The 19,313-nt window shown below is 35.6% G+C and overlaps 1 long non-coding RNA gene across 1 annotated transcript in view; it reads right to left on the reverse strand.

Annotated features, from left to right (window-relative positions):
* The window catches only part of LOC105374021 (uncharacterized), a 40,806-nt gene extending 25,266 nt beyond the window's left edge, over positions 1-15,540 (reverse strand). The window contains exons 1-2 of the long non-coding RNA XR_007096271.1: positions 15,333-15,540; positions 9,080-9,154 (exon numbers count right to left, since the gene is read on the reverse strand). This is a non-coding gene — a long non-coding RNA (uncharacterized LOC105374021). The remainder of the gene's footprint in view (positions 1-9,079; positions 9,155-15,332) is intronic.
* Between the last annotated feature and the right edge of the window lie 3,773 nt (positions 15,541-19,313).

A 19,313-nucleotide genomic window follows, 5' to 3' on the forward strand; every position in this document is an offset into this window, starting at 1 on the left:
TCTCTGAAATTCCACTTACAATCAGTAGCAAAATATAACTTATTCTTTTTCATTTTAAGTTTGGGGTACAGAGGCAGGTTTGTTATATAGGTAAACTTGTGTCATGGGGGTTTGTTGTACAGATTATTTTGTCACCCAGATATTAAGCCTAGTACCCATTAGCTGTTTGTCCTGATCCTCTCCCACCTTCCATCCTTCAACTTCAGATAGGCCTTAGAGTCGTTGTTCCCTTCTATGTGTCCATGTGTTCTAATCAGTTAGCTCCCACTTGTAAGTGAGACTATGCAGTATTTGATTTTCTGTTCCTGTGTTAGTTTGCAAATGGCCTTTAGCTCCATCCATGTTCCTGCAAAGGACATGATCTCATTCTTTTTCATGGCTGCATAGCATTCTGTGGTGTGTATGTACCATTTATCCAGTCTATCACTGATGGGCACTTAGGTTGATTCTATGTCTTTACTATTGTGAATAGTGCTGCAGTGACATAGGCATGCATGTGTCTTTTTAATAGAACAATTTATATTCTCAGGCCAGGCACGGTGGTTCATGTCTGTAATTCCAGCACTTTGGGAGGCTGAGGTGGGCGGATCACAAGGTCAGGAGTTTGAGACCAGCCTGATCTATATGGTGAAACCCCATCTGTACTAAAAACAATACAAAAATTAGCCAGACATGGTGGTGCACTTGTAGTCCCAGCTACTCAGGAGGCTGAGGCAGGAGAATCTCTGGAACCCAGGAGGCAGAGGTTGTAGTGAGCTGAGATCGCACCACTGCACTTCAGTCTGGTAACAGAATGAGACTCCATCTCAAAAAAAAAAAAAAAAGAAAAAAAGAAAAAGAAAATATATATTATCTTGGATATATACCCAGTAATGGGATTGCTGGGTCAAATGGTATTTCTGATTGTAGGTCTTTGAGGAATTGTCATGCTGTCTTCTGCAATGGTTGAACTAATTTACCCTCCCACCAACAGTGTCTAAGCATTCCCTTTTCTTCACAATCTTGCCAGCATCTGTTATCTTTTGGCTTTTTAGTAATAGCCAAAACACAACTATTAATAGCAAATAGCATAGCCTATGGAGAGCCTTTACTTAAAAATACACACTTATTTCAGAGTAAGAGAGTATATTCTCATGACATTAAAGATAATCTAGAACATGTTTCATATACATGGATCCAGACATTCAAGGAAATCATACTTATCCAGTAGAAAATGTCATTAATGTTTGTGAAGATGATCAATTAAGACCCAGACTTGTCATCTGGGTATTGAAGCACTTTATACAGACCTTTTGATTTAAGATTCTCTCAAAAGAAAACTGATTGACTAGGTAAGAATTTTAAATACTAAATAAATCTTTAAATTTAAAAAATGGTTAAGAAGGACAAATGTACTCTTTGATTAAAGAGGTTTAGATATTTTTTACTCATCTGTCATAGCAGCCTTCTCCCATTGCCTTTGTGAAATATTAGACTATTTATAACATTTTTATTTATTTTTATTCATCCTTTTTATTTGTAGTAGAAGGAAGAGGTACAGAGAAGAAGGAAATTTGAATGCATTATCAAAAATACATAACACATACAAAATTCCATATACAAATGTACATAAATGTCACGAATGGCTTTTCAATATAAGGGATACTGTGAAGTTAATGGAATAGACTCTGGCCATGTTGAATTCAAATCAAACTATAAAAAGAAGGAACATCTCTCTCATTGTCTTAGTATGGTTTGTGCTCTGATATTGGGTCATATAATTTCCTTAAAATAAGGTGCAGAACCAGCTACTCTTTTGATGAAAAAAATCACATTTTAGAATACACTAAACAAATTGTAATTTAGAAATAGATTTAGTCAAATAAGAAGCTATTATTGGCAATACCTGTATCTCCAGCACTGCATTTGGAACTTTGGCAAAATGCAGTTCCAAAAATTTTTAACAATAAAGCATCCTTCTTACATTCAAGAAGCTTAAATTTGGATGAGCCACATTAAATAAATATAATTAACTTAAAGAAATTAAAGACAACTAATTTCAAGAATAACTTCAGAGAAGTGAGTTAATACCAATAACAAATTGATACTAATTCTAATCCTTTGTTCATAGTGACAGGAAGTCAAATACTTCTAGGCCAATATGACACACGGCAAAACATTATGAGATTTGTATTACACTACATTTATAAGAGGGTCTGTTTTTTTCTTTATACATTTGAATATTCTTGTACCTTAGGTACCAATTAATAATGAGGGATACAAGAAATTTGTGCTTTTAGTATCTACCTAATAAAATTAACATTAACATGAATACATTCAACAAATTTTAATTCATTGCCTACTGTAAGCCAAATATTGAAGTTGGCACTGAAGAGATGGTCATAAGCAAATTAGCACCATCCCTTATTAAGTAGATAGATTTATAAATTTATCTAAATATTTGTTTTTGGTTTGGGATTTAACTATGAGTTACCATAAACATATACCTAAGAACTTGGAAATAAGGAGACTACTTTCTTAGTTAAAAGGTATTTCAATACACTCTGGATTAGAAAAATAGATCACTAAAGTCATCTCAAAAAGAAAAATATGGCCCTAAAACCTTTAAGACAACCTATAACTTTATTGATATATTAGCATATCAAAGAAATAATATGTCAATTAGTAGGAGGGCCTCAGTCTTGGAAACAAAGGATAACAAAACACTTGTGAAACCATTGGCAGCCCCCATCCAAACATGCTTTTGATCCAGCGCGAGTGTATTCTTAAACAATTGAATGTTTTCTTAAGACTAGAATTAAGAACTAATGGTATTCAAGGCCTGTGGCTTTATACTGTGAACACCAAGCAAATTTCTGAATATAATTTGCTTTCTTATATGATCTGCTTTCAGGGAAAGATGTGGTTACACTGATAAAATTACTATAATCTTCATGATGGTTTTAGTTCTTATTGTAAAACAAGTCATTGGCATTTTGATTTTATACATCAGTCTCTGTGACTTTAGTGAATACATATCTATCCCCGAAAGTAGCCCACGTTCAGTATGCCAAAGCATCACAATTCTAAATCAGAAAACATGAAACTGGATCAGGACAAATTTACTAATGTAATAAAGGCACTCTATCAAAACACAGGGAAAAACATTAGTTGTCTTTCACAGATCATAGTACAATTTAATGGTAAGTTTCTGGCCATACATGACATCATTATTCCAAATGTCTACATTTCCTGCTGTTTTCGTTTTTGGGGTGAGAAACAGGGCTACAACTATAAGCATTAGGGTGATACCTGCAGATGTATATGCCAAATTGAACTCAATGGAGTATACGGTACAAATCCTGTCTTAGGTTGTGGGCACAGATAATTCCGCAATAATTTAGTATGCTAGTTAACATTTTATAAATTGGAATGTATTGGTTGAAAAGAATATGGGCAGAACATTGTGGAAAGATGATTTCAGAAAGGAACCCCAAAAATGTGTTTGCAAGACATATAGAATATCTTAGGATCTAACGAAATGCAATCATTCTAGTAAACCATTCTAAACACCTGTTTTTAATAACAAACATGTGAGTTCGAAGCTAAACACAGGTCTTTCTCATCCCAAATGAAGATCATCTAAAAAGCTTACCTCTTACAAAGATATTTTTCATTTAATTATTTACTTCTAGAACCTCTCATGCAAATTCTTATTATGTCTAGGTTTCTCAAAACTAGGTGGCAGAAAAGAAAATACATTTCTTTAAAAAATATGTTAATAATAATAATAAATCCAGGGGTGGGGGTGGTGTTTCCTTTTTCAGTACTTCAAGTAAGGGAGGGGACCACCCCTCATATTGTCTTATGCCCAATTTCTGCCTCCAAAGAAAGAAGAAGTAAAAACTAAAAGGCAGAAATGAAATCCACAAGCAGACAGCCCGACGCCACACCCTGGGCCTGGTAGTTAAAGATCGACCCCTGACCTAATCAGTTATTTGTATAAGAAAAGCACTGTGAAGATCCCTGTCCTGTTCTGTTCTGTTCTAATTACTCGTGCATGCAGCCCCCAGTCACATACCCGCTGCTTGCTCAATCGATCACGACCATCCCAAGCGGACCCCCTTAGAGTTGTGAGCCCTTAAAAGGGACAGGAATTGCTCACTGGGGGAGCTTGGTTGTTGAAGACGTGAGTCTTGCCAAAGCTCGTGGCCAGATAAAGCCCTTCCTTCTTTAACTCGTGTCTGAGGGGTTTTGTCTGCAGCTTGTCCTGCTACACAAGCATTCTTTAATTTCTTTTCCAAATAATTTTGACTTACCTTCCTTTCTCATTTTGTTCTTCCTGATGACATTCATCAATCTAATTATCATGGCAAGAGTTTGTCCTCATAATCTTTAATTGAAAATTATACGGGGGCAGCTGTCACTGTCAGTGTTTGTCATATTGTTGTTTTAGTCATGACTGTACTAGCAGAATGCTAACTGCACCAGAAATATTAAGCAATTCCATCCACAAATAAGTTTCTTTATAGGAATGAAGGTAGGAGAGAGAGTGGTGTAAAGAAGAGAGGGTTCCAATTAAGTGCAAATCCACTGGTTTTCTCCCAGTGACTACCAGGGAGATTTGAAGGGCAGAAAGATGTCATTATTTTCTTGGTCCACAGTAGTAGAAGTGATGTTACTAGTACTAACAAATTGTATATTGATTGAGTGCAAAAATTGTTTTGCTATGCACTTTTATTAATGAATAAATCTAGATCATAAAACATAGTTAATGAGGACTAAGCTCTGCTTTTTTCTTACCTTGCTCAAACTCCTATCTAAGTGGTCTGGGGAATCATGCCCCATAAACCATAAATTCTAACCAGATGGGTTTTATTTAACCCTATATATTGTGACTTACTTTCCAATTTGACTCTGGCAAAACATTATGTGACAAAGAAGAATTCCAAAATATTTTACCTCAAAACATGTTTCTTTGCCATATTTTGAAATGGCCTGTCAAAGCCATCCTTTGTGGGGAGAAATTTGCTTCTCTAAAGAATCTCTATTAAGATAGCTAGATCTTTTTCTTCCAGGCCCTCCCAATCCTGAAGAGATTACCTGAGAGTCTAGTGCCTTTTAAAATTCTGAATAGGAAACATCTGCAGCCACTATGAGACTTCAAAGAACCTTGGGCTTCACAATCTTTTTGTCTTAACCTGAACATTTCCCTTCTATTGATCCCCAGTCTTTAGACAAACTCAACCAATTGTCAACCAGAAAATGTTTAAATTTACTTACAGCTTGGAAGCACCCTCCCCACTCCACCCTGCTTCTAATTGTCCTGACTTTCTGGATCAAACCAATGTATTTCTCAAATGTATTTGATTGATGTCTCATGCCTCCCTAAAATGTATAAAACCAAGCTGCACCCCGACCACCTTAGGCACATGTTCTCAGGACCTCCTGAGGGCTGTGTCATGGGCCATGGTCACTCCTATTTGGCTCAGAATAAATCTCTTCACATATTTTACAGAGTTTGACTCTTCATCAACATTAGTTTGGTAGAATGTGTTGGAAGTAGAGAAGGTAATGAAAAAAAAGGAGTGTTTCTTTGTTCTTATGTAACTTAGTAGCCCATATAATAGCCATGCAACTATTAATCATAGAATAGTCCTTTAATATGTATCCCTCATGGACATAAAGAGCATAACTTTCAAGAAGGTTGAAAGATGAATGAAACACTGGGGCAGATCCAGCATGCTGTCCAAATGAGACATTTCTAATGGAAAATAAGGGGATCTGGACAATGTGCAGAATCTAAGGTCATTCTGGCTCCCTCCATACTGTGAAATAGCCAACTAGCATCTCCAGTCCAATCTGTCAGCCTGTCAAAGTTAAAATAATCCATGGATATCTCACCTTTTATTCAGATTAATCAGTCACTAAGTAGCATAATGAAAATTAATTAGAAAAACACTAGGCAAGATAATGCACGGTGTTATCAGTGAGAACTGCAAAGTCTCACACACGCCAGACCAATACAACAGAACCTGTTGCCACATGTTCAGGATTAGCCTGTATTTGTGCTTTGGAGTAATTTGCCAGAGGCATTACATCATGATAATCCTTGATTTCTTGTGAGATGTTGTGAATTATGTCTTCTAAGCAGTCCCTATGAACTTTACGTAAGATACTAGACTTTTTGCTTTTTGGTACTTTTAGGTAATTTACTAAAAATAAGGAAAATATTTTTAAGCCCATAATTTTAAAATAAATGTTTAATGACAATATAATATAGGAATTGGGGTTATAATTACTGAGAATGTTATCTTTCCATATTACTTTTCTATAAATAATATATTTCTCCATAACCATTACTGGAATCTATAATTTTTTATGTATCTGCTACTATCATAATGAAGAGTGCAAAGATATATTTATTTTTGTAATTATTCATTTCAACACCTGAAAATTATCTCTAGAAATCTCAATTAGATCTAAAGCTTCCCTTTAATTCAGTTTGAACATGGCTCAGCTTAATAGATTCTATTAAGTTTCAGAGATAATTATCATTCCTAAAATATAACTACACACAGTAAAATCCTGTTGTACACGGTGCAGCAGCTTTAAGCCCAACCGACCCCCAGCAATAGTATTTTAAAGAGCTTCCAGTGTTATTTTCCATAATAAGGCCCACTAGTTGGCAGAACCCCTGGAAGCTATGCAAACAGCAACACATCTGTTCTCTAAGATGCAAATGCTATGTCTTAGTAGAGATGTTTATTCCCTTTACCAGCAACATTGTGAAAGAGCAAAGACTGGAGCAGGCTAAAAGGAATTTTCCTTTAAAAATTAGCATATTCTTATAGAAAGAGAAAATTCTGGCAATGTAAAGGAGCGTGAACCCTTGTCCTTTGATTTGTGATACTTAGAGACCAGCCTTTTTTTTTATAATAGCAAAATCAAAGTGTTCAACATTCCCACCTTTGTTTGTGTGTTTTGTTGAACTTTTAAGACAATGCAAACTAAAGTCCACATCAGAAAAGCATAATTTGTAAGTCCATTTATTAGAATGTTGAAACTATTATTTCCAGAGTTAATTATTTGTTTAAATGAGAGATTCAGCCTTGATTTTTAGTGCTTACAAGTAAATGAAATGTTTTTGAATTTCATAAACATACTTAAATATTACATCTATTTTTTAACCAAGGAAAAATGTTCAGCCAAGACTTTCATGAAATTATATCTCTTTTGAGATATGACTTAACCTAAAGAAATAAATAATTAGCCTGTACAGGAAAGAGGTAAACTCCATTAGTAATTTTATAAATTTACAAATAACACCTCTATACTGGAAACATTCAAATTTGCATCTACAACCTTACCATTCTCCTGAGCTCCAGTACTTTATTTCCAACTTCTTCCCAAATATGTGTAGATATTAAAAAGTCAACACGTTAAAAGGCAAAATTTTTTACTTTCAGTTCCACAAAAATTCTTTGCTTCTTTCTCCTGCCTGCACTGCTTGCTTATTATTGTTGTTGTTGTTTTAAAAGAGTACACGTTCTTTTAACAATATTATTATTCTATCAGCCATCAGGAAAAAGAACATTATCACCACCTCCATCCCCCCATCTAATCAATCCTATTCATCTCCATTACTCTCTCCTACTCCAAAGCTTCATTTTCTGTCTTCTGTATACATTGAGAAATCTTCCATATTGCTTTTCCCAGCCAGTCTCTTTCCTTTCAAATATGTTATGAACAACACAGTTAAGTTTCTACATCCCTACTCAAAGTCTCTACTACTTAATATACAAATCGCAGAGTCTTTTACTTGTCATTAGGTTTAATCCCTACCAAGAATCAGCATGGGTTGCTGAAGAAACATGAATGTGGAGAAATTCGTTCAACAACCTAGTAGACGCCAGGGACTAACTACCCTGTGCACGCGAATGTAGCATGAGTTAAACTGAAGTGCCATTTCTCCTTACAAAGCCTATAGTCTGTTGGCAAGCTAATCTGTGTTTTTAATTTTGCTCGCTCATTCCTAGCTGAGTGACTGAACAAATGACTGAATTTCTCGTCTAAGTTGTTTGTTCTATAAAATGATGACTAAGGGGCGTAAGGAAAAGGGAAATATTTACCTCATGAAAGTGTCATTGTGACTTAGGCCTTATATTTATTGAATCCTCATGAAGAAGGTACAATATTACTCCCATTTTACAGATAAGACAATTAAAGTTTGAGGATATCTGGGAGTAGGTATTTAGGAGCTTAATAGCCCGTATACTGTCACTTAGCTAGTAAGTAGAGAAATCAAGATCCAAATCTGTATCTACTTGACTCTAAGCCCACATTTTTAAGTCTCTGTGTTATGGGTCTTGTCACAGGCAACTACCTTGTCATGATGCTATCTTAGCTGGCCTATTAAAAGATAAATTTATTAAAAGCATAAATTACCTGTTGCTAATCTCTATATCCCCAGAACCTCATCTAAGGTCTTGAATATGACAGAAGTCAAATACATACTTACTGAATAAATAAATGTCTGAATGATGGAATGAATTTAAACTTGTAGAATAGAAAGATCTGGGAAAATGTGAGGGGAGGGGGATCTATCAGTTTTTCTGCATGCATCTTCCTCTCTAAGCAGCACAGGCAAAAGTGAAATGGAAGGAAAAAAGAGCTATAGACCACGATGAAGATGATTAAAGAGAGTACAGAGCAGCTGTCAAAGCAAATATCAAGCAACATTAATAACTTTACAGCTCACCATGAGGCTGTCTCAAATATTTTCAAGAAAACAGGATCCTTGCTGTTGTACACAGTAAGTGAGACTAATAATCAAGTGCAGACTCACAGACTCTTTTTCACTGGCCACCATGAGCTGCAGAATTAAAAAAATATTACTAAAAAAGACTCTTAAACTAATGGAAAAATACATGACTCAGAGGAAAATATTATTGCATTCTTGGTATTTTAATTTGGGGCAGAGTTGATAAGAAACAAGATCTACGATGTTCGCCACTTATTATCTAAGTTGTTTGAATAGTCAGACAATATCCCCAAACTTCTGATGCTTATCCAAAAATAACTGTGTTGTGAGTCTTACCAGTAAAATGCTTCGTTACTCCCAGGAACTTATTTTGCCAGTATTTCAATCTATCCAGTAGATTAGAAGGATGATCTATGTGGATAAAAGTGAAAATTTGAAATCAAATGCTAGTATCTGTTCTAAACATGAATTATTTACTTAAAATAGTATTTTTTAAGTGACAGTGATTCTACACATAAGTTTCTTGTGACCTGGTCACAAATTAGGTGCATGGTTTCTTAATTATGGTGTTTATTAAATCTGTTTATTTGCTTATTTACACATTTATTCACTGAGCATAAGCTTTTATGGGTTTTGTTTTGTGACATCTGTGCATCCCTGTATGCAGGTAATAGGAGCCACAAAGAAAACAATAGATTTGGTTTCTAGTCTCATTGAACTAACATTTGCAATTTGTGGGCATTAGGAATAAAAAAGCAAACAGTTTTAATTATGCATTGATTTGGAGATGTGAAAACCCAAATATTATCACTATGCTCAATTTCTACTACTGTTTGATTTTTGGATAGAAAAGATAAGAAAACAGCAAGAGAAAAAGTAGATAAGTGAATAAAAAAATTAAGCTAAGAAAACTTGTAAATTAAGTAAAATAAAAGGGATCATGGCGTAAAGACAAGTTATAGTGGTACTGAACAGTGGCTCCTATGATTCTATAAAAGGTAGAGCAAAATTAAACTGCAATGTGTACACCTTTGATCTTTGTCGGAAGTAATCTTATTTATCTGGTTCTTTCTTATACTTCAAACCTCAACTTAAATGTTGTTCTTCTGAAGAGACTGACTCTAACTCAACTTTCTAAAGAGATCCACTTACAACCATCCAAACAAAGCTACCATCACGTAATTAGTCATTGGTTTTAGTTTTTCACACTAAAATATTTGCCTCATGAAGCTTCAGATACTGCCTTTTATGTTCATCTCTGTATCCCTTGGACCTGGCACATAGTAGGAGCTCAGTAAATAGTTGTTGAATGATAAAAAAATGAATAGAGTTCTAGCCTATTTTTTTCACAAGATGATGTCTGTTTCTAACTGTTAGATTTTTTTTTTTTTCTATTCTATGCTGTGGAGCATGTACTTAAATGTTAGGACATAATATTTATTTTTAGTTTCTGGGTTTCCAAGGACTCAAATATCCTAGGACAGAACCACATATTCCTGTAACTGTAAGGAAGGGTTGTCAAGTTTTTATCTAATATCTTTGCATAGGAAAGTTCTATACCAGCTTTACAACTGTCATTCAGCATATTTACATAACTTTGAGCATACTATATGGAATCCACTTGGTGGTCCTCTCCCCAACTTTGCATTTTTAATGCCAAAATTTACAAAGAAAAAAAAGTTAATTTGTAGAAGGTAGATTAGCAATATGTTCAGAGAAAAAGACCTGGCTTGGATAAAAAGGTACCTCAGAACTCAAGTCTGAATCAACGTAGTTTTGAAATCAGTAATCACTTCAGTAACTAGGAAAGCAAATTACATATTTTTAAAAATCTGAAATGACCAGTAAAAGACTGATGTAACAAAGGATGCTATTAGAGTTTCAGAGACTGTCAAGCTAACAGTTTCAAACACTCCTTAGAAAAATGAAACAGCCAGGCACAGTGACTTACTCCTGTAATCCCAACATTTTGTGAGGCCAAGAAGGGAGAATCAGTTCAGCCCAAGAGTTCAAGATCAGTCTGGGTGACATAGGGAGACCCCAACTCTACAAAAAAAATTTAAAAAATTAACCAGACATCGTGGAGCGCACTTACAGTCCCATCTACTCGGGAGGCTGAGGTAAGAGGATCACTTGCAGCTGGGAGGTCAAGGCTGCAGTGAGCTATGATCACACCACTGCACTCCAGCCTGGGAGACAGTGAGACTGACTAAAAAAAAAAGGAAAAGAAATGAAACTCTCAAGGATTTTTTACCTACCGGTTAGGACCAAAAGAATTAAAGTAAACTGGTTTATTCTGACTTAGCTGATCTTTAACAATATACATCTGAAACAAATTGCTCTGATTTGGTCAACTGAATCTCTTAACATAGATAAAAACTTTTTAACCAGTGATATTTCTTTCAATTTACATTTTTCTTTTTATACATAATGTGGCAGGAAATGGTTAATTTAATGGCTATTCAATTACCTAACTTTAGATGTATGTAAAATGCTAATATGCTAATTCCTAGATCCTTAATCTTCTGCAATAAGATTCACACTAGTGACATGTCTTCTGTTTATTATTTTTGTTTTTTTCAAAACTGCATAATTCAAACATTTGAAATGTCCATCTATGACCTCAAAAGTAAGGATGAAGTAGAAATGTTCACTTGTTTCAAGAGCAAAGAGAAATGAGAGTATATGTTACTTACCAAAAATTTACTTATTGTGTGATAAGTAAATGAAAACACCCTAATTGCTCTTCATATTTAGGGGAAGATAGGATATTATATGTTTTATCAGTTAGCTTTGGAATAATTAAAAGTATAGATCAGAAAAATATATAGTTTATTTGTTTGAAATGGATCATCCCTGAATATACAGCTAATCTAACATATTTGTGATACACATTAGGTAAAAGATTAGTTGTAAGAAGTAATTTGAAAACAGTATCTTATAGGGTTTCAATGAGATTTTTCTGAAAAGGATATTTTATGCATGGACTTGAGCAAACCTGGATACAAAGATGTCAGATTTTATGTCTTTACTAGAGAAAATGATGCCAGTTCAGAAAGGACAGAATATTTTTCTTTAGGATATATTCCTTATTCTCAGAATAAAACAAGAATCTGGGGAATATCTAAACATATTGAAAAAAACTCTTCCTTTTACAGTTTTTGATCTCTGTGAGAACTATCTTACTATTGTTTTTAGTAGCCACAGAAACCAATGTTCCCTTTTTCTTCTTATCTCTTCTCTTAAAAATAACAAAAGACACAACATTAACTTTTGTGGATCATATTTGATTTACCTCTTTCCAGATATCAAAAGGTTGTGAATTTATTTTTTAAATCAATTAAAACTACATGAAAATCCTATCCCTTCTGTTCATATGGTGAGGAATGCCTAAAGCCAAAGGATATGGGGAATATTAGATATGCTTTTCTAAGGAAAAAATAGTAAGACAAAATGGCCTGCCTGAAGTTAACAGTTTATAGATTGCAAAAAGGCACAGACAATTAAAAGATGGAGCTACTTAGGGCAAATTACTTGCAATCAAGCTGCAGCTAAATGAGCTTCTTGATGAGGAAGCCAAATTTATGTTGTTTCAAACCAGGGAGAAACATTAAAGAAGTTGAAAGGTGAGCAAAATGTTAGTACAATTGGATCCAGATAGGTTGATAAGGGAAGCTGTAGAGGCAATTAAAACGCTGCCTCTGAAATACATACACATAGGTACAGACACAGACATACACGCACACAAACCAATACACACAAAACATCCTCAAATAGAAGACTGTATGATTACATACACCTTCAGCCTTCATTTATGTTTTATGTGGATGCCCCTTCTTATCACAAAAACACTGCGGCCTGAGAAGCTCAATCACAGAATATAATCATTTTCCTTTTCAATCTGCAATTTACTACAGACATTTTATTTGAAAATGAGGTATTGTTTAAACTCTAAACCACAGTGTTTTCATTTTTTCCCCTGCCCTAAATTATCCCTTGGCAGCTCTCTGAGTTGATTTTTAAAGAATATGTTTTATAATGAATTCAGAACTTCCACAAAGCACAAAAGCCATGTGAAAGCTTCAAATGTGAAATATCACATTTCTTTCTTTGTTGCTCAATATCCATTTTTGCATTCAGGGCTGTATGCATCAATTTCACTGAAAGCAGGGTATTGTCTACATCTATCTGTCTGAATGAGATGACTTTCAGGACTTTGTAATTTTGAAAAGGTCTTCAAGCCAGGCTATCCTTCATCCCATTTCTGTTGCATTGGAATGTTAGACATAACAAGGTAGACAAAGGAAAGATATAATACAGATCCTTATTGACAGTCAGCAAGTACAAGTATATGTAGAAAGAGATAATTTTCTGCTGGCATTTTCCCTTATCTCGATTCTCTTATCCTTTCATGCATTATGTTTTGCATGAACAGAATCGGAAAAAAATTGACAGCCTTGTATGAAGTACACCAAGAAAGCTTTCTCCTTCAAAGATCTTTTTAGGATATAAAAACTCTCTAAGATTTAGTAACTAAGAAGGACAATAAATGTCCATACTTAGAGCAACAAATAAAAATGTGATTCTGATGCTGACATAGTTTTTTTATAGTTGAAATGTAACCTTGTCAACACTGCCTGGCCAGTTCTGCCATTGAAAAATGGCCCAGGAAAATGCCCAAATGCCAACAGTGGTAGTTATGGATTATTTTCCTATCTGATATTATTCAGCTACATCTGCTGTTTAGTGGAAGCTAAACAGAAAATACTCCATAGGATACTGAGAAAAAATTGGGCATTGAAAATATATTTGTGTCTTTTTTTTCTTCCTGTGAGTTATAAATTTTAAATGGCATATGTAAAGCATTTAGAAAAGGTGTCTCAATATATTGAACATTGGCCAAAGAGGCCTCCAACAGCTAAAGTCATATCACCTGAACGTGATGGGATTTCCAAATTCCCCCTAAATCAGTCTGGTTAGGAGAGCTTAAAGGAAATAGGAATATACATACACAAGAAAAAGTTCATTGTTAACCACCCTATTAACTGTTAACTGCATGCCAAAAATTGGGCATAAGAGTGACTTAAGTCTTAATGACATTTTCAAATATAAGCTTAATAAGGCAAGCCTGCTTTTAAAGATTAGTGAGAAGTAACTGTATTAGTGAATTTTCATACTGCTATAAAGAAATACCCAAGACTGGGTAATTTATGAAGTAAAAGAGGTTTAATGGAATCATGGTTCCACATGGCTGGGGTGGCCTCACAGTCATGACGGAAGGTGAAGGAGGAGCAAAAGCACATCTTACGTGGCAGCAGGCAGGAGAGCGTGTACAGGGAAACTACCCTTTATAGAAACCATTGGATCTCGTGAGACTTATTCACTATATCACAAGAACAGCATGGGAAAAACCCATCCTCATGATTCAGTTGCCTCCCACTAGGTCCCTCCCATGACACATGGAGTATGTGGGAGTTACAATTCAAGATGAGATTTGGGTGGAGACACAGCCAAACCATATCTGTACCTGACCAAGTACCTCTCAAGTTTGAGGCAGCTACATAACCAACAGATGAAGTCTTAGTAAAAGCACAGAACTAGAGTTCAAGTGACCTGGTTTGCACCCTGAGTGCCATCATCATCAAGCATGAAAACCTTATGCAGATCAGTTCACCTTTTTTGGGATGCTTCCTCATTTATAAAATGAAAGATTTTAACTGAGTAATTGCTCAGATTCCTAGAACTGTGTAACTCTAAAAAGATTTCCATAACCCTAGGTTATTTTTTCCTGGTTAACAAATTTTTTGGTTAGACAAAAACAACAATAGCTTATACATCATGTAAATCGTTGTTTCTTTGTGCAGAATTAGGGGCTATATCTACCATAGGAGTAGTTGGCTCAGTGGCTAGGCCCTTGAGTCTGGAGTAAAAGGCTACAGCCGAGACAGTCTCATAGTCATGTGATAAATTGCTTCTGTCTTCTATACTATTAAAGCTCTTAGAAGTTATGGCAAACTACTTATTTCACTCAGGTTTGTATTATATTATGTCAAAACATATCTATCCTTCTCCTATCACTGTGCTACTATAATGTACTTCTTTAGGGACATGACCATGCCGTTTAACTTACATCTCTCTCGCTGTACCAAATAAGACTCCCCTCACAATTTACTCAGTAAATGTTTGTGGAGTAAGATTTTCACTGGCCTCATTTCTCCAACTATCCTGCTTGGCAACTAATCCACAGTCATATAGGCCTCTTTTCACTTCTTTTAGTTTCTTAAATTTGGGCCTCCGCACCCCCACTCCAGCTCATGCTATTTATTCTACTTTTAATGATATACTGCCTGCTCGATTCCCATTCCCAGCTCCAACATTCACACTCTTCATCTTGCCCATCTTTCAGAACTCAGCTTCACTATCTCTTAGGTGACCTTGAATAAGATCTTAATACTTTTCCTTTCCAACAAATAACCCAGTTTTAATTATCTAATTGATTATGATATCACTTATTCATCACTGTGTATCAACTCATCCCAGATTCAATGGCTTCAAACAGAGAAACAAAAAAATACATTTTACTGCTTACATTCAGTAGGTTGGCCAGGTATTACATCAGCTGCTCTCTCCTGGGTTCACTCAACTGGAAGGATGAAAATGGCTTTATTCACATGTCTGGCAGTTGGTGCTTTTGCTGATTGATGGCCTCTCATTCTCCAGTACGTTAGACAAGTTTTCTTATGTTGTAGTCTCAGGACATTATTACAACTGGCAAAAACAGAAACTGTAAGGTGTCTAAAACCTAGGATCCAGAATTTACACACTAAGCTTCTGTCTCATTCTATTAATTAAAGCAATTTATAAGGCCAGCCCAAATTCAAGAGAGTGGAGGAACAGACTCCACTTTTTGTTGGAAGGAACAAAAACATTACATTGCTCTGGGACATGGACACAAGGAGGCTTGACTCATGGGGACCATATTATAACTCTCTACTACATTATGTAAAATTACTAATTTAATTTCTATATTCCCCACTAGACTATCTGTGTATATGAATAGGGACCATGCATTTCCTAATTTATGTTATATTGCCAGCATTTAATGCAGTCTTTATATGTGCTAGGCATTAATAAATATTTGTTGAATGAATAATTAAATGGCTAAATTAATAACAGAGTGGATGAATTAACTTGAAAAAAGATTTCATGAACTATCAGCATGAAGATTTATCCACAAAAATAGAGAAGTGTTTCTTTTTTTGACCACATGAAAAACTAGAAACCATGTAAGCAGAAGTTATCTAAGTTAACTTTTATTGAGTAACTGGACACAGAATTCAGGTGCTCTGTTGTTTTCTATTGCTGCTATAACAAAACGTCACAAACAGCAAATTACTGCAACATGAATTTATTAGCTCACAGTTCTACCAGTCAGAATTCTGGTGTGGTTTAATTTAGTTCTCTGCTCAGGTTTCTCACAAGCCAGAAATTAAAATAGCAACTGACTAGGCTCTTATCTGTAAGATCTGATGTCGAAACAATTTCCAAGCTGAATGATGTTTTTAGTAGAACTTAGCTCCTTGCAGTTGCAGAACTAAGGTTCTCCCTTCTTGCTGGCTGGTGGCTGGGAGTCACCCTCAGCTCCTCCAGTGAGCCCACATTCTTTCCGCATGTCTTCCTTTATCTTCAAGCCAGCAACAATGCATCGGGCCCTTCTCTGCTCAGATCTCCCTGACTTCCTCTGCTGTCCTCACCAAGGAGAATACTTTGATTTAAGGACTCCTGTAATTACATTGGCCCACCTGGGAAATCTAGGCTAATCTCTGTATCTTAAACTCAATTGATTCTTAACCTTAATTACCTCTGCAATGTCATTTTGCCATGTAATATAACATATTCACAGGTGTAACACCAGGGAGCAAAGGTCAGAGAGCCAAAATTCTGTCTACCGTTGATACTCAACAGCAATAAACATTCAGCTGTAGGAAACCTGAAGTCTCCAGAGAGATAATTTAGATAAAATACAGCCTTAAGTATAGGACAGACCTGCTTAGAATCAGGAGTCTAAATTTTTTTGGTTACACAAATATAGCCAATTCTCTTTACCATTATAAATCTCAGCTTTATTTTTTTAATCTGAAAAATGCAAATATTGCTGCATCTCTATCATGTTGCTTTTAACATTAATATAAGAAACATACATATAATCAGCAAAAAAGATTTTTAAAACCTTACATATCAAAGATTACAAAAGAGAATTAGGAGAAAGAACAAAGTCTAAAGATGTTGAGAGAGTACCCTAAAGTTATCTATTTATTTATTCACTTGTTCAAAAATATTTAGGACTAGGCCAGCCACAGTGGCTCATGCCTGTAATTCCAGCACTTTGGGGGGCCAAGGTGGGTGGATCACTTGAAGTCAGGAGTTTGAGATCAACCTGGCCAACATGGTGAAACCCTGTCTCTACTAAAAATACAAAAATTAGCCAGGTGTGGTGGCACGTGCCTGTAATCCCAGCTATTTGGGAGACTGCATCAGGAAAATTGCTTGAATCCAGGAGGCGGAGGGTGCAGTGAGCCAAGATTGTGCCACTGCACTCCAGCCTGGACAACAGAGCGAGACTCCGTCTCAAAAATATATATATATATATATATATTTAGGACTAGGTTTCGATGAAATTAACCTAACAACCAACACTTAATCCTTTGAGAAACTACTTTCTCAACTGCATGGAACTTACCTAGGATAAAAATTAAAATTTAGGAGAAAGTGATTTCAGAGCTCCAAATCTGTCCTGTCTGCCCTCATTTCCATAATCTGCTTTGACTGCCATTTTGTATATCCCCTATAATTTAACCTACTTATTGATCCCATGATCTCTGAAAATATTCTTTTTAATTTAATTTAATTTTTAGTTCTGGGATACATGGGCAGGATATGCAGCCTTGTTATATGGGTAAATGTGTTCCATGGTGGTTTGCTGCACCTATCAAACCATCACCTAGGTATTAAGCCCCGCATGCATTAGCTACTCTTTCTGATGCGCTCCCTCCCACCACATCCCCAACCAACGGGCCCCATTATGTGTTGTTCCTTTCTCTGTTTTTATGTGTTCTCATTGTTCAGCTTCCACTTATAAGTGAGAACATGTAGTGTTTAATTTTCTGTTCCTGTGTTAGTTTGCTGAGGATAATGGCTTCCAGCTCCATCCCTTTTCCTGCAAAGGACATGATCTCATTACTTTTTATGACTGCATAGTGTTCCATGGTGTAAATATATCACATTTTCATTTTCCAGTCTATCATTGATGGGCATTTGGGTTAATTCCATGTCTTTTCTACAGTGAATAGTGCTCCAGTGAACATACATGTGCAGGTATCTTTATAATAGAATGATTTATATTCTTTTGGGTACATACCCAGTAATGGGATTGCTGGGTCAAATGGTATTTCTGGTTCTAGGTCTTTGAGGAATTGCTACACTGTCTTCCACAAGTAAAACCCAGAACTATAAAAACCCTAGAAGAAAAGCTAGACAGTACCATTCAGGACATCGGCACAGGCAAAGATTTCATGACAAAAATGTCAAAAGCAATTGCAACAAACACAAAACTTGACAAATGGGATCTAATTAAACTAGAGCTTCTGCACAGCAAAAGAAACTATCATCAGAGTGGACAGACAACCTACAGAATGGGAGAAAAGTTTGCAGTCTATTCATCCGACAAAGGTTGAATATCCAGAATCTACAAGGAACTTAGTTCCAATTTACAAGAAAAAAAAAAAACACCATTAAAAAGTCGGCAAAGGACATAAACAGACACTTCTCAAAAGAAGACATTACGTGGCCACCAAACATATGAAAAAAAACTCAACCTCACTGATCATTAGAGAAATACAAATCAAAACCACCAAGAGATACCATCGCATGCCAGTCAGAATGGTGATTATTAAAAAGTCAAGGAACAATAGATGCTGGTGAGGCTGTGGAGAAATAGGAATGCTCTTTTGCACTGTTGATGGGAATCTCTGAAAATATTTATTCCTTTGAATGAGTTTAGCATAGGATGTTACCCTTAAAAGGATATTTGCATTCTAGAACACAGAGAGAAAGCTGAAGTAAAACACAAAATCAGTTCCAGTGCTTACAGAATTTGGATTATAGAGTGTGATGGAATGCATTATATCTCTTCAAATTCATATGCTGAAACCCTAACCCTAAGTGGGACTGTACTTGTAAACAGGGCCTTTAAAAGAAGTAAGCACATTAAAGTGAAACTGGTAAGAGTGTGCCTTGATCCAATCTGATTGGTGTCCTTATAAGAAGTGGAAATTTGAACACACAAAGAGAAACATCAGGGGAGCTTACACACAGAGAAAATCCCATATAAGGACACAGCGAGAAAGCAGCCATGTGCAAGCTAAGGAAAGACTCCGAAGAAACCAAATGTGCTGACTCTTTGAGCTTGAACTTCTAGCCTCCAGAACTGTGTGTAAATCAATTTCTGTTATTTAAACCTCTATGTGGTATTTTGTAATGGCATGACCAGAAAACTAATACATAGATAAAA

Source organism: Homo sapiens, chromosome 3 (genome assembly GCF_000001405.40).
Source record: "Homo sapiens chromosome 3, GRCh38.p14 Primary Assembly".
NCBI classification, from domain to species: Eukaryota; Metazoa; Chordata; class Mammalia; order Primates; family Hominidae; genus Homo; species Homo sapiens.